Genomic DNA, 14,105 nt, shown 5'->3' with positions numbered 1-14,105 from the left:
CAACCACAGTCCAAAAGGCTTTACAGTAACTTCTATAAATCATTTAAAGAATTGATCATTCCAATACAAATAAAATAATGGAATAAGAGCAATTTATTCTCCCATCTCCAATTTACCGAGGAGACTAAAAAGAGATCAATGCAAATGACAGCATAGTACAAGCAAAAATATTACAGGACAATCTCACTCCAAACATTCTGAACAAAAGATTAGCAAACAAATATTTTATTAGAAATAAATTTTAAAACAATACATCCTGGCCAAGTTAGAATCTATTAATTATATAATTATATTAACAATTAATAAATCATTACATTAATGTTATATTAAAGGAGGAAAACCCTTATGATCATCTCATTGCTTTTTAAAGCAATGAATTCCTTATAAAGCATTAGGTAAAATTCAAAAATTGACAATGGGAAAACAAAAGCTTTTTGCAAACTAGGATCCGAAGACCTGTTCTTGAATCTGATCAAGAATATCCACAAAGAACCTGCAGCAAACGCATTCCCTGAAATCGCAGAAGCCCTCCCTTTGTGATGGCAGAAACATGGGGCTGTCCCTTTCTACTCCTGTTCAATGCTGTCCAGCCATCTCCACAGGACACATAAAGAAATGTCAGGATTGGAAAGAAACAAAATTACCATTATTTGCAGATGATTTGGTTTTCCATTTAGAAAACTCAAAATAATCTTGAGATAAATATTAGAGTTAATAAAATAGACTTTAAAAGTGATATTATAGCAAAAACCACAACTACTTTTGCACCAACCTAATACGTAAGCTGATTCCCTTTCTATATTCCAGTAAAAACAGCTAGACAATGTAATAAAACACTGCACTTAGAATAGCAACAAAAATATATCCAGAAATAAATCTACCAAAGATGTGAAAGTCCTCTACAGATAAAGTTATAAACATGTATTAAGAGATACAAAAAAGACCTAATTAAGATGACTGTACTTAAATAGGAAGACTCTAGATCCTGAAGTTGTCAATATTCTCCTCAGTTGATGCACAGTCAATGCAAGTGCAAGCAAAATCTCATTACGTGTGTGTATATGACAGTGGTGGCAGGGGGACAGCAACTAAACAAGGTGGTTCTAAAAATTTATATGGAAGAACAAAAGTCAAAAATAACTTAAAGATGAAAAACAAAATGGAGGGACTTGTCCTACCAAATATCAAAACTTTCAATAAAGCTATAAAAATGAAGACAGTGCGGTATTAGCACAAGAAGAGACGAAGAGACCTGTGGAAGAGAATAATCAACCCAGGACCAAACCCAATACAAAACAGGCATTGCAGGGTGGACTGATCAATATAACTAAGACAATGTGTTATCTATGTGAGATAAAAATAAACTTAGAGCCTTACCTCACACTCTACATTAAAAAAAAACACCAACTTTGGGTGGGTTAAAAACCTGTGAAAGGCAAAAGTTTACATCTTTCAGAAGACAATGGGAGAGGCTATCTCTATGATCTCAGAGCCAGGAAGGAATTATTTAACAAGACAGGTAAATGCAAACTATATAGGATCATACTGACAAACTTGACTATATTAAAATTAACTTAAAGAGCTGATATCATGCAACAGTAAGAAGCAATGAGCTAAATGAACATATAATCACATGGATAGTCCTCAAAACACAGTGCTGAGTAAAAAAATATGAAGCAGAACAAAAATTATAGCATATTTCTGTTTATGCAAATTAAAAACATGTATACACAAAACAGTACATATTTTACAAAGATACAAACAAATTTAAGGATATCCAAATCATTCCAATGCATTAGGGTGAATATTCAGAATAAATAAGAACGTGAGTCAGAGAGAAGGGGGAAATGGAATAAAATGCAACAAGAGAAGGGCTTGCCCAGGCTAGTGAAGACAGTGTACTACCAACTAGGGAGTACAATTACCTCTACTCTGCTCCTCAAGTTCAACAGAAAAAACAAAACAAGCAAATAAAACAAACAAAGATTGCCAATGTTACCTCAACCATGAATATCTCAACTTTGGATTTAAGGCTGTTTAACTTTGGATTTAAGGCTGTTTCATTCTTTTTTTTCCTGATATCCATGACGATTTCACAAAATGCCCCAAAATTCCATTAGGAAGTAAACATGTCTTGAACAAGCACCACTTTATAATTATTAGGTGTTTTAGGTTGAGTTTCTTAGAAGCAGAACCTGAGGCAAGAATTCTGTGTATAAATGTTTTATTGAGGGAGTGAATAAAGCAGGATAGGACAAGGGAAGAAGATAGGCAAAGAAATGGGTTCAGAGGAAGTCTAGTCTGTCTGATCCCGTGGGGAGCTCTGAAGTATGAATTACCACCTAAAATGTATGCCACTTACACAAAAGGATACCAGCCTCTTATATCCCACTATCAGTCAGGGGTACAACAGTCACACTTAGGGGCACTTGTAAGTGACATGAGTCTGAGTAGGAGGGCATCTTTGAGGCAGGCTATCCCAGTCTACCCTCTAGCCTTCCAAAATTCACTTCCCTCCCACATGCAAAATACACTTCCCCCTTTCCAAGTTTCCCAAAAGTCTCATACCATTATGGCTTCAGATCAAAGTTCAGAATCCCTTCATCTAAATGAGGTCTAGGTGCTCATGGGGTTCCTTTGAGGGTAGTTCCTTAAGCAAGCTCCTTGAATACGCTACTTTTGATTTTAAAACCTTCAAACTAGACAGACAAGTTATCCCTTCCTCCCCCAACACTTGATGTTGGAACATGGATAGGATAATTTCTACAGGAATTCCTGTTCAAAAGCAGGGGAAATGGGAGGTACAAAGGAGTCACTGGCCCATAGCAATTCTGAAATCTCATGGGGGCAAATTCCCTGATTAGGAATCAGTCTTACTTCTGATTGAGTCAAAAGCCAGAGAACAATTCTCCTTGGATTTTGACTCTAACATCCAGGCTCTTAGTTCCAGCCCCTGTGCTCTTGATTTCCCCTTGTGAGTCATTCTTTTTTTCTTTATTTTTGTTTTTTGTCTCACCCTGATTCCTGCCAGAATTTTGTGGTCCAAAGGCCTTTATTTATTTTGTACTAATTCTGTCCCTTTCAGTACAAGCCGGATATGTTTTTGTGATTATTATCTAAAAACTTGTAGCTTTCCTATGAATGTCATTGGGGGTTTTCTCCATTAGACAAAAGCCACATACATATAAATCTCTTTGAGATAAGCCCTTCTCTACCCTGGGCTTCTACTGCAATCAGTTAGCTTTACTCTTAAGCTTCTTAGAAACTTTAGCACCTTTTGTCTATCTGAATGGTACTCTAAGGCATCTCTTAGATCTTTTCTGAAATCTTAACAATGAATTTTACAGCCACAGCCTCAGCTTTATTTTTGGACCATGTTTTCCCAGCAGTGCCCTTGATTTGATCTTTAGTTAAAAGATATTTCTTAATTTTTAGCATCATTTGGCATCTAGAGATGTTAGGAAGTGTCTAAATCACAAGTCCTTACTCCTCTTAGCTTATCTCCCTCCTGTCGCATTTTAGTAGAAGCATCATGAATCAGGTGAAACTTCTAACACTCTAGCTGGAAATATCCTTACTAGATCACACAGTTCATTAGGTGCATTTTCTATTTCCACATGACTCTAGGTGACACTTTTGCTACCCTTTCTGCCACTAGGTATTCAGGATTTCCCTTTATCCAGCTTCCAGTAACATGTTCCTTTGTTCCTGTTAGGGCCTATCAGCAGCCTTCTCATCCAGACTGTTCAAGGCACTTCAGGCTTTCAGCAGCACTCTCTTTAATGTCCTTCCAGCTTCCATTTACCTCCTGGTTCCAAAGCCACTTCAACTTCTGTAGGTATTTGTTATGGCAACCCCCTCTTGCAGATACCAAAAACCTGTATTCTTGATTGTCATGTAACAAATTAACCCCAAAACATTTATTATGACACAGTATCTGTGGTTCAGAAATTCAGGGGCAGTTTAGCTGAGAGGTTCTTACTTGGGGCCTCTCATGTAGCTATAGTCAGAATGTTGGCAGGAGCCGAAGTCACTAAAAGGCTTGACTGAAGCTGGATGGCTCCCACACATGGGAGTTAGCAGGAGGCTCAGTTCCTCACCAAATGGCCCTCTCTACAGGCTATTTGAGTGTCGTGACAACATGACATCTAACTTCCCCAAGAGCGAGTAATACAAGAGAAAGACTAACTATGTTTTAACAAGAATCACTCTGGTTGCTGTGTGGAGAATAGACTGCAGGAGGGCAAGGGTAGAAATGGAGAACTTACTAAGAAGCTAATAAGATGATGTAGGCAAGAAATGATGGTGGCTTGAACAAGAGAGGAGCAATGGAGATGGTAAGATCCTGAATATATGTTGATATTTTGAAGGCAGAGCTGGCAAGATGTACTGCTAGATTGTAGATGGAGTCTGAGAGAAGGACCATGGAGATCAACCAGGTTTTGACCTGAGCGAACTGGAGGAATGAGATCACCATTCACTGAGGCAGCCACCCTCCATATGATTTAGGAACCTTTATTATCTATATTTCAGAGGTGAGGAAAGTGAAATTTTGAGTGCTTAAGTAACTTGCCAAAGGTATCCCAGATGGTAGGTGACATAGCTGGTTCTTAGTGATGTAGTGTACTGGTTATTAACTACTGTACACTACTGTCTACTGAGCCAGGAATATTACTAGATGGATCACTTGCCAACATACTTTGTTAAAGCAACTGGCAGATGTCTGTGTGCTTCCAGATGACTTGCTCAGCAGTAGGGGCAGGGCATCAAGGGAATACACATCCCTACATTCACATGTGTGTGGCCACAGTGCTCACTGCCCATGCCACCCTGGCCAGGGTCTGGTGCTGAATGTGAGCCATGCTAATGTGGAAGCTTCCAAACATGCACTCCGCACTCCAGAGAGAAGGCAAGGTCAGGGGAATCTTGCCCCCCACATGCCACCAGGCTGCCTGCTTTCCAGCCAGTAACTGTTGGTACTTTAGGAATTCACTGCTAGGGTCAGCTCTTTAGTGCAAACCTGCTACGGGCTCTTTGTTAGATGATGCCAAGGGCAGGAGCCTGAAACATTAAGCCAGGGCCCCTGGGACATTCATTTCTGCAGTTATCCATATGTGGACTGACAAGGGAGGCAGCATTTAGCATTGTTTGCAGTCTGGATTCCTTCATGAGCAATTGGATTTTCTATTTCTTCTCTAATTCAGTTTCTACCCTCACTGACTAAGCTACATCCCAATTCCTGATGAGGACTAGGAATTCCAAGTGGCTGCCCTGGGACAGAAGGGATCCTGTTTCCAGGCTGGTCCCCGTTAGCCCTGCCCTTGCTTGAGAAACCCTTTACAGTCTTGCGGAGTGAGAATCTTTTCCTTTTTCTCTTTCTTTTCCTTTTCCCTCTCTATAGGAGAGTATATAATGGCTGCTTTATATACCTAGTAAAATTTTTGGATAAGTCCTCCCAAAAACAATGTTTCTTTGATGTTGTATTAAAGAAAAAAATATACTTTAAGCGGGGAAAGCAAAGCACATTTCTGTGTTTTCATGCAGGGCCTAATTAGGGAGAATTTCTGGGAGGTGAACCTGGAAGTAGGGGGCCTCGGTGTCTCCTGCTGATCTCAGAAGGGATCTGGGGTGTCACCACTTTTTAATTTTAAATAGAAAAACACAGACAGAGACCCAATCTCTAAAGGGAATAGATTCTAAGTGGGGACTGCAGAACTTTGGGATACTGAGACACAAAGAGTTTGAGGGAAAATGTCCAGCCTCACTTAGAAAAATGTAAACTAAAACAAGTCACCATTTGTCACCTATCAAATCAGCAAGGAGGTTTTAAAAGATACATCTGACACCAGTGAGATTGTAGAATGACAGCTGTTCCCATGCAGGTGAAAGAATAAACTGTTATAAACTCTTGGTAGGCAGTTTGGCAGTTTGTATCAAAAGCCCTTAAATCAGACCAACCCTTTGAACCACCAATCCCTAAACTACAGGTTTGCCATAAAGAAATATTGCTAGATATGCACAGGGCTTTGGGTAAAACAATGCTGTGGCAGCTTTGCTTATTTGAGAAAACACTTAGAAACAATGATAGGAAAGGGGTTAATAAATCATTATGCCTCCAAATGCTGACATTAAAATGTGTTGTAGGAGAATATGTTGTGATGTAGGAAAATAAGCATCTTTTATTGTCAAGTGAGAAAGATGTGATAAACGGAGATATATATATATATATGTATAAAATCAACAGCAGCATAGCAAAATGACTAAGAGCTCAAACTCAACATTCAGATAACCTGGGCAACTTAACTAATTCTCTCAAAGTCTTAGCTCTTCGGCTATGAAATGGGGATGAAAGGCCCTTCCTTCTTCATGTAGTTATGAGGGCTCAATGTGAAGCCCATGGCACAGTATCTCCACCTGGTGAGTACTTAACAAACAGTAGCAGAGATGTCTCTCTACCAAAAAGTAACAAGTGGAATCTCTGGGATATCAGTTGATAGGTTACTTTTCTCAGTTGTCTTATTGGTGATTTTCTGTGTTTTCTATTATTTTGTGCAGGAAATATGTCGTACTTCTGCAATCTGAATATCAAATAAACCCTTATAAATAAAAATGAACTCTAGGCTCAGAGCGGCAGCAGGAGGTGAATCCCGCAAATGCCTGAGTGTCTCGCCACAGAGACCATGAGGGTGCCGGGAGCCCCTGGTGGGTCAGAGGTACGCCTTCAGCAGGCCTCAGGTCTGTCCTGCCCCTGGCCCAACTGGGACCATGGCTTTAGTCAGCACTGGGAAGGGAGGGCACCTCCTCTCAGGTGCTGTTCTCATCCCGGAGTGCCCGGCCCAGGCCCCTCCATGCTGCATTCAGTCAGTGCAGGAACTCTTCCTGTGGGCCTATCACAATAAGGTGGAGATGGTAAGTGCCTGCCTGAGCCAGAAGGTCCCCACCATGCAAGGACCTCCATATTCCTTCACCCTAGTGGGCTTACCTGCCTGGAATGCTACTCTCCCTCATTGTCCCTCCCCGCTTCCCTGATCCTTCTCAGCCTTCCGGGCCCAGCTCAAGCCCCACCTCCGTCAAGAAGGCCTCTTGGGCTGCCATAGCCTCCACAGTCTCTTCCTCCCCTGAATGCTTTTCACCCCTGCTGGGCTCACCAAGCACAACCCCATGCTTTCCTTGGGAGATGAGACACTACAGCTCCTCAGCTCTCATCCCAGTCAATCAGACTCACTCCAGGCTTACCACGTGTGTGCCCTGCACATGTTACCTGACCTCTCTGGGCCTCCGTTTCTCATTTATAAAATGGGGATAACTGCACTGCTTTGCCAGCTTGTTGTAGACACTAGAAATAAAACATGAAAGGCAGGTACCACTCAACAGTCATCATTCAATAAACGGTAACTGTTATTAAAAGCTAAACATTGCTTTTCTTTTGCAAATCACCCCTCCCTGTCAATAGAAGAACTAGCAGGCTGTGAACAGAGGCCTGAGGAGCTCAGCATGAGTGAAGCATGTGATCTCGGGCACACTGACCTCTGAGAGGTTGGAGAACTTTTCTGCTTCCTTCTTGGTTCACAGCTGAGAGGACAGGAGTTTTCCCCAACGTGTTCTATGATTTAATCATGTGTGTGGGTTTCTGTTCCCTTTTTGGAAAGTGTGTTTTATATCCAATGTCACACACCCTGAATTTGTCTAAAACTCTCCAGTACTTTCCAGGTTTTGCAAACACTGCCCTGTGACAGAACGTCCTACCTTGGATGAGCCACTTGGGGAAGTGGCGACAGCAGAAATCACCTGTATTTCAAGCACAAATAAGGATCCAGCATGTCTCTTGAAGGGCTCACCAAGGAGACTACAGGTGTGGAAATAACAATCGAAGCCAGAGTGGAGGCAGCCAGAAGGCCACTCCAGGGCAAGGCAGGCATGGGTGGCTTCCAAGGCCAGGGCCTGAGCTACACAAGGAGTATAGGCTTGAGCTAAGAGTGTGTGCTGTGAAGGTCACAGGTGGCCTACTGATCTCCCAAGCTGGGCATTGCCATGTCTAAGACTCTCCCGATGGAGCTTCGTTCTTCTGAGTTGAGCTCTGCTGCCTCTTTAAGCATGGCCATACTCTGGATAGGATTAATTACTCAGCTTACTTGTGCCTATTTGCACTAAGATGTTGCTGAAAAAGCCAACAACCCAAATGAAAAATAGCCAATGGATACAGTGAGTTAACAGAAAATGTACATACATTGCCCTTAAACTTATAAAAAAATCGGTCAATGTCACTCATAAGAATGCATGTTAAAACTCCATTGAGATACCATTTCTCACCTATTAGGTTGGCAAAAATCCAAATGTTTGACAAATACACCTAGAGATGTGCTAGTTTTTGTTACTGACTCTCAGCTCCAAACCCACCCCTCTCGCTTCTGCTTTGCAATGCTGGGGCTGGACCTCTGCAAACCCCTTCTCTAGTTTGACAGCTGTTGACCTCTTAGGCTCTGCCAAGAGGGGGCACTAGATGGAGACTGCAAGGTTGGAGGGGGCAAAAGTTAACTCCTTCCTTCCTATTTTGCAACCTGTCAGCCTCCTGTTTGGTTACTGTTCTTGAGAAGATTGCCCAGCCCCTTCACTGATAAAATTGGTAAAACTGGTGAAAGCACAAAATAGTATATAACCTTTATGTAGAGAAATTTCACAATATCTAATAAATTACAAATTCAATCACCATCTAGCTCAGTAACCAATCCCTCTTCATTCTAAATGTTCAAGATCACCTATTGCAGCATTATTTGAAACAGCAAAAAGTGTCCATATATAGGGGATTGGCCAAATCAACTATGGTATGTCTGTACAATGGGTACTCTGCAGCAGAATAAAAGAGAAAAACTTACATTGTTAACTAAAAAAACCAAAGTATATAACCATGAATGTGGTGTTCAGCTTTCATATAACAAACAGCATAAAATTAGAAAATATATTTGCTTATAGTTACATATACAAATGTTGGAAGGATACACAAGAAACTAATAAGAGCAGACATCTAGATGGCTAGGTGTGGGGTGCTGGGAGACAATTTTCTGCATGTCTTCTGAGCAGAGACCATGACAGCATATGTTGTAGATTATTTTTCCAAGGATGTGTGTACAGAAACAGGCTTAGAAGATATAGTGTCTCTCTCCAGAGCAGAAAAGAGATTTGTTTGCTGTCTGGTAAAAGTAAAATAATGTCTTTCTCCAGGGCAAATATTGGGTAGGTATGTTCTCAGCCCAATATAAAACATTAGGGTTTCCTAATCTCGGGATTCCTGAATTATGATGCAAACCTACTGCATGTATGGCACCCACCTTGGCCACTCCACATGCCCGCCCTGGGGGACACAAGGAACTGGTATGAATATCAAATGCATGCTGTCTGTTGTGCCATGAGTAATGAAGTCCTTTGTTTCTTACCTAATTCTTACATCTTCTGCCTGTATAACAGTGGTGGCTTATATGTTAGCTTGCAAGCAGGGTAAAATCAAACCGTTCACAGTTCTAGATGGGGGGAGGAGGGAATTAGGTGGCTAGAGATGGAGCAGGACAAGACTTCTTACTGTGTATCTTTTCATATTATCATGAGTTTTGAAGTACACAATTATATTACCTCTTTAATCATAAATAACATTTAGTTTGAAATTAAAATGTTACTCTTATAAGTAGGCAACAAAATTTTAGAGTGCTGGGCCTGGCAAGAACATAGGAGGATGCTGAGTATGACCTTGGACTCTTGCAGAGGAGAGGGCCAAGACTCAGGGACATGGCATGACCTACACAGCTACTTACCAGAGGATCCTGGATGAACCCTGACCTCCTGACTGCCAGTTCTTTATAGTGCCCAGGCTGGATCAGGGAGATATAGGTGAGACAAGGATGTTGAAAACAGAGGTAGAGATTATGATTTTGACCTCACAATTTAGCCTAGAACCAGCCCCGCCTGAAATTAAGTAGTCAGGCTGTCCGGGGAACTCAACCTTCATTTCTTACAGTAACATCTACTGCAGAATATGCTATTTAGTAAACTGTCTCAAATTATGTTTGGGAGCAAACAAAACATTTTAAAAGGCATGCTGATATGCTAATTCAACCTAAACCACTCTCCCTATTACAAGCAACTGTGGAGAGAAGGCAGGTTTGAGGCTCTCTTAGACTCACTCCACATTCCTAACAAGTCAGTGGCAGCATAAAGTAGACAAGAGAAATGTGGGGTACAGGAGTTTTGGTGGGCTTTTGTAGAAAGATGATCAGAGGCCAAAAATGTGGTATATCTATTCAGGAATCATATATCATATCTGACCCTTCAAAGGTAGGGCGGCTATAAGTTTTTAATAAAGGTTTCTCAAATGAATAGAGAAGTATGTATTGCCATCACTCAGGCAAATTTCTAGAATCAATATTATCAGGCTGCTAATACTTGAGAACCAGAGAAGGATCACACGATTGTTCCTACTGCTGTGGAGCTTGATATGGTGTGGAGAAAGGGTGGAGGATGGGCCCTGAGAAAGTGCTTCTTCAATCAAACTAGCTCCACCTGATTCCTTCCTTTCATCCATCTGTCCACTTGTCCATCCATCCATCCATTTATCCATCCATCCACCCATTCATCCATCCATCCACTCACCCAGCCAAACAACTATCTATCCATCCATCCATCCATCTATCCATCCATCCATCCATCCATCCACTCACTCAGCCACACAACTATCCATCCATCCATCCATCCATCCATCCATCCATCCATCAACCCACCCCCCCAACCAATCCCTGTCCTATAAGATCTTTGAGAGTATTGAGCTTTTAGGGGAAATATACAGAGATTATTGGAAGACAGTTAGAAAAGTGCCAGAGTGCTAATATCTGTCGCAGATATGCATGAGGTGGAAGGGTAATGTTGCTTGTCTATTGGCCTGGTCTGTCTCCCTTAAACAGTGAGCACCTTAAAGGCAGTGAACTGCACTTTATTAATTTCTGCATTTTTGGGGCTCAAGGCAGCACACATTAAGTCAACATTTGTTGAATGAAAGAATTAATGTGTGTTAGAGAGTATCAGTCAGAATGAACTAGATTATGCTCTGGTTACCAAAACCTCACTGGCTTAGAATGATTAACAAAAGGTTGATTTCTTGCTCATGAAACAAGTCTTTCAATTGGCTGGGAGCTCTAAATTATCAACACACTGGAATTGGTCTGACGGAGTCGTCACCATCTGAAACAGTGTCTATCATCACGGCAAAGGGAGAGACAGAAATGACAAATTGTTCACTGCTCAGAGGCGACCCATATCAACCCCATTAACATTTCATTGACCAAAGCAAGTGCTTCCTCCCTTAGGAAGACAATCTGTAAGTCTGTGCAGACCTCTGGTGGAGGTCCCAGATCCCTGGGCAATGCACAATATTCCCATCATCAAGTCTACATTGGATGTGTGTTTTTTCCTGATATGAATGCCTATGACAAGTTATCTGCCCCATACCCACAATGTACAAATGTGGTGTAGGGGCAGAATGACACTCCAGTCCTAAAAGGGGAATGGAGAATTTAGCAGACAACAAACACCCGCCCTGCCCACTTTGAGGGCACCTATCATTGGATGGGGATTGTTTCTTGATTAGGCCTTCATTTCCAGCTCTGAAAGAAGCTCCCATTGTCCACTGCCCTCTGAGATCTCTGGATCAGCCCTCTGGAATATTCTTTCTCTTTGGCCAAGTCAGGAGTGAGCTCTGGAGACTGTGTCCCCCTTGGAGGCTGAGCAGCTTTCTCAGAGAAGCCACTGTCTGATACAATAGTGGTTCCCACAGCATAAGGAAACCTCCAGCACGGAAAATCACACACTAGCTCTGAATGCTTCCACCCAGAAGTGACACATACCACTGTGGTTCACACAGCATGTCACATGGCCAAGCTTGGCTCCAAGGGGCAGGGAAATGTAATACTTCCATGTGCCTGGAAGGAGAATTGGAAGTACTAGGTAAATGACATTTGCAGTGAGTGAATTTCCTCTGGCACTGGAAGTCAGACTGTCATAGCCCAATGGGTTCTTTCTTCCTGCTGCCCAGAAAAGACAATGCACTAGGAACAGCAGGTACTGCAGCAAAGAAAGAGCTTAATAATTGCAGGGCCAGGCAAATGAAAGGATGATAGAGACGATGTTATTTCTCAAATCTGCCTCCCTGATAATTCAGAAGCTAGACCTCAAACTATGAAATTATTACAAGAAAACATTGGGGAAAATCTTCAGGACATTAGTCTGAGCAAGAATTTCTTGAGCAATACCCCAAAAGCACAGGCAACCAAAGCAAAAATGGACAAATGTGACGATATCAAGTTAAAAAGCTTCTGCACAGCAAATGATACAATCAATAAAGTGAAGAGACAACCCATAGAGTAGGAGGAAATATGTGCAAACTACCTATCTGACAAGGGATGAATAACCAGAATATATAAGGAGCTCAACTTTACAAGAAAAAAAAATCTAATCATCCAATCAAAAAAATGGGCAAAAGATTTGAACAGACATTTCTCAAAAGAAGACATACAAATGGCAAACAGGCATATCATATTAGTCCATTTTCACACTGCCATAAAGAAATACCCAAGACGGACTGGGTAATTTATAAAGGAAAGAAGTTTAATTGACTCACAATTGCACATGGCTGAGGAGGCCTCAGGAAACTTACAATCAAGGCAGAAGGTGAAGGGGAAGCAAGCACCTTCTTCACAAGGCAGCAGGAGAGAGAACGTGTGAAGGAAGAACTGTGAAACATTTATAAAACCATCAGATCTCAAGAGGACTCATTATCATGAGAACAGCACGGGGGGAACCACTCTCATGATCCAATCACCTCCCTCCCTCGACTTGTGGGGATTACAGGTCCCTCCCTCAACACGTAGGGATTACCATTCGAGATGAGATTTGGGTGGAGACACAGAGCCAAACCATGTCACATATGAAAATGTGCTTGACTTCATTGATCATTAGAGAAATGCAAATCAAAACTATAATGAGATATCATTTCATTCCAGTTAAAATGGCATATATCTAAAAGATAGGCAATAACAAATGTTGATGAGGATGTAGAGAAAAGGGAACCTTTGTACACTTTTGGTGGGAATGCAAATTAGTACATCCACTATGGAGAACAGTTTGGAGGTTCCTTAAAAAACTAAAAATCGAGCTACCATATGATCCAGCAATCCCACTGCTGGGTATACACCAAAAAGAAAAGAAATCAGTATATCAAAGAGATATCTGCACTTCTATGTTTGCTGCAGCACTGTTTACGATAGCTAACATCTGGAAGCAACCTAAGTGTCCATCAAGAGATGAATGGATAAAGAAAATGCGGGACAGATACACAATGGAGTACTATTCAGTCATAAAAAAGAATGAGATCCTGTCATTTGCAACAACATGGATAGAACTGGAGATCATTATGTTAAGCGAAATAAGCCAGGCATAGAAAGATAAACGTCGCATGTTCTCACTTATTTGTGGGATCTAAAAATCAAAACAATTGAACTCATGGGCAGAGAGAGTAGAAGGTTAGTTACCAGAGGCTGGGAAGAATAGTGTGGAACTGGGGAGGAGTGGAGATGGTTAATGGGCATAAAAAAATGGAAAGGATGAATAAGAACTACTTTGTGCTATTTGATAGCACAACAGGGTGACTATAGTCAATAATAACCTAACTGTACATTTTAAAATAATTTAAAGAGTGCAACTAGATTGTTTGTAACTCGAAGGATAAATGCTTGAGGGAATGATTACTCTATTCTCCATGATGTGCTTATTTCACATTGCATGCCTGTATCAAAACATCTCACGTACCCCTTAAATATATAGACCTACTATATACCATGAAATTTTTTAAATGAAAAAATGTAAATAAATAAATAAATAAATCCAGAGGCTAGGGTTTTTAAGAGTACTTTGGTGAGCAGGATACTGGAGAAATGAAACAATTGATTGGCTTAGGATGAAATCACAGGGGTGTCTAAACTGTCTTCATGCAGCTGAGTCAGTTCTTGGTGGCAGGGTGTAGGGAGGGGGGTCTCAGGACCAGGTGGCATCTTTTGGTTTACCAAAAT

At 41.2% G+C, this 14,105-nt stretch overlaps 1 long non-coding RNA gene across 4 annotated transcripts in view; it reads right to left on the bottom strand.

The window, feature by feature from the left end:
• The window catches only part of LOC101929770 (uncharacterized), a 105,175-nt gene that overhangs the window by 45,905 nt on the left and 45,165 nt on the right, over positions 1-14,105 (bottom strand). The gene's annotated exons all lie outside the window — the stretch shown is intronic.

This window comes from Homo sapiens, chromosome 6 (genome assembly GCF_000001405.40).
Source record: "Homo sapiens chromosome 6, GRCh38.p14 Primary Assembly".
Classification (NCBI taxonomy): domain Eukaryota; kingdom Metazoa; phylum Chordata; class Mammalia; order Primates; family Hominidae; genus Homo; species Homo sapiens.
The sequence above is the reverse complement of the archived record's forward strand: the minus strand, read 5'-3'. Positions and strand labels throughout refer to the sequence as shown.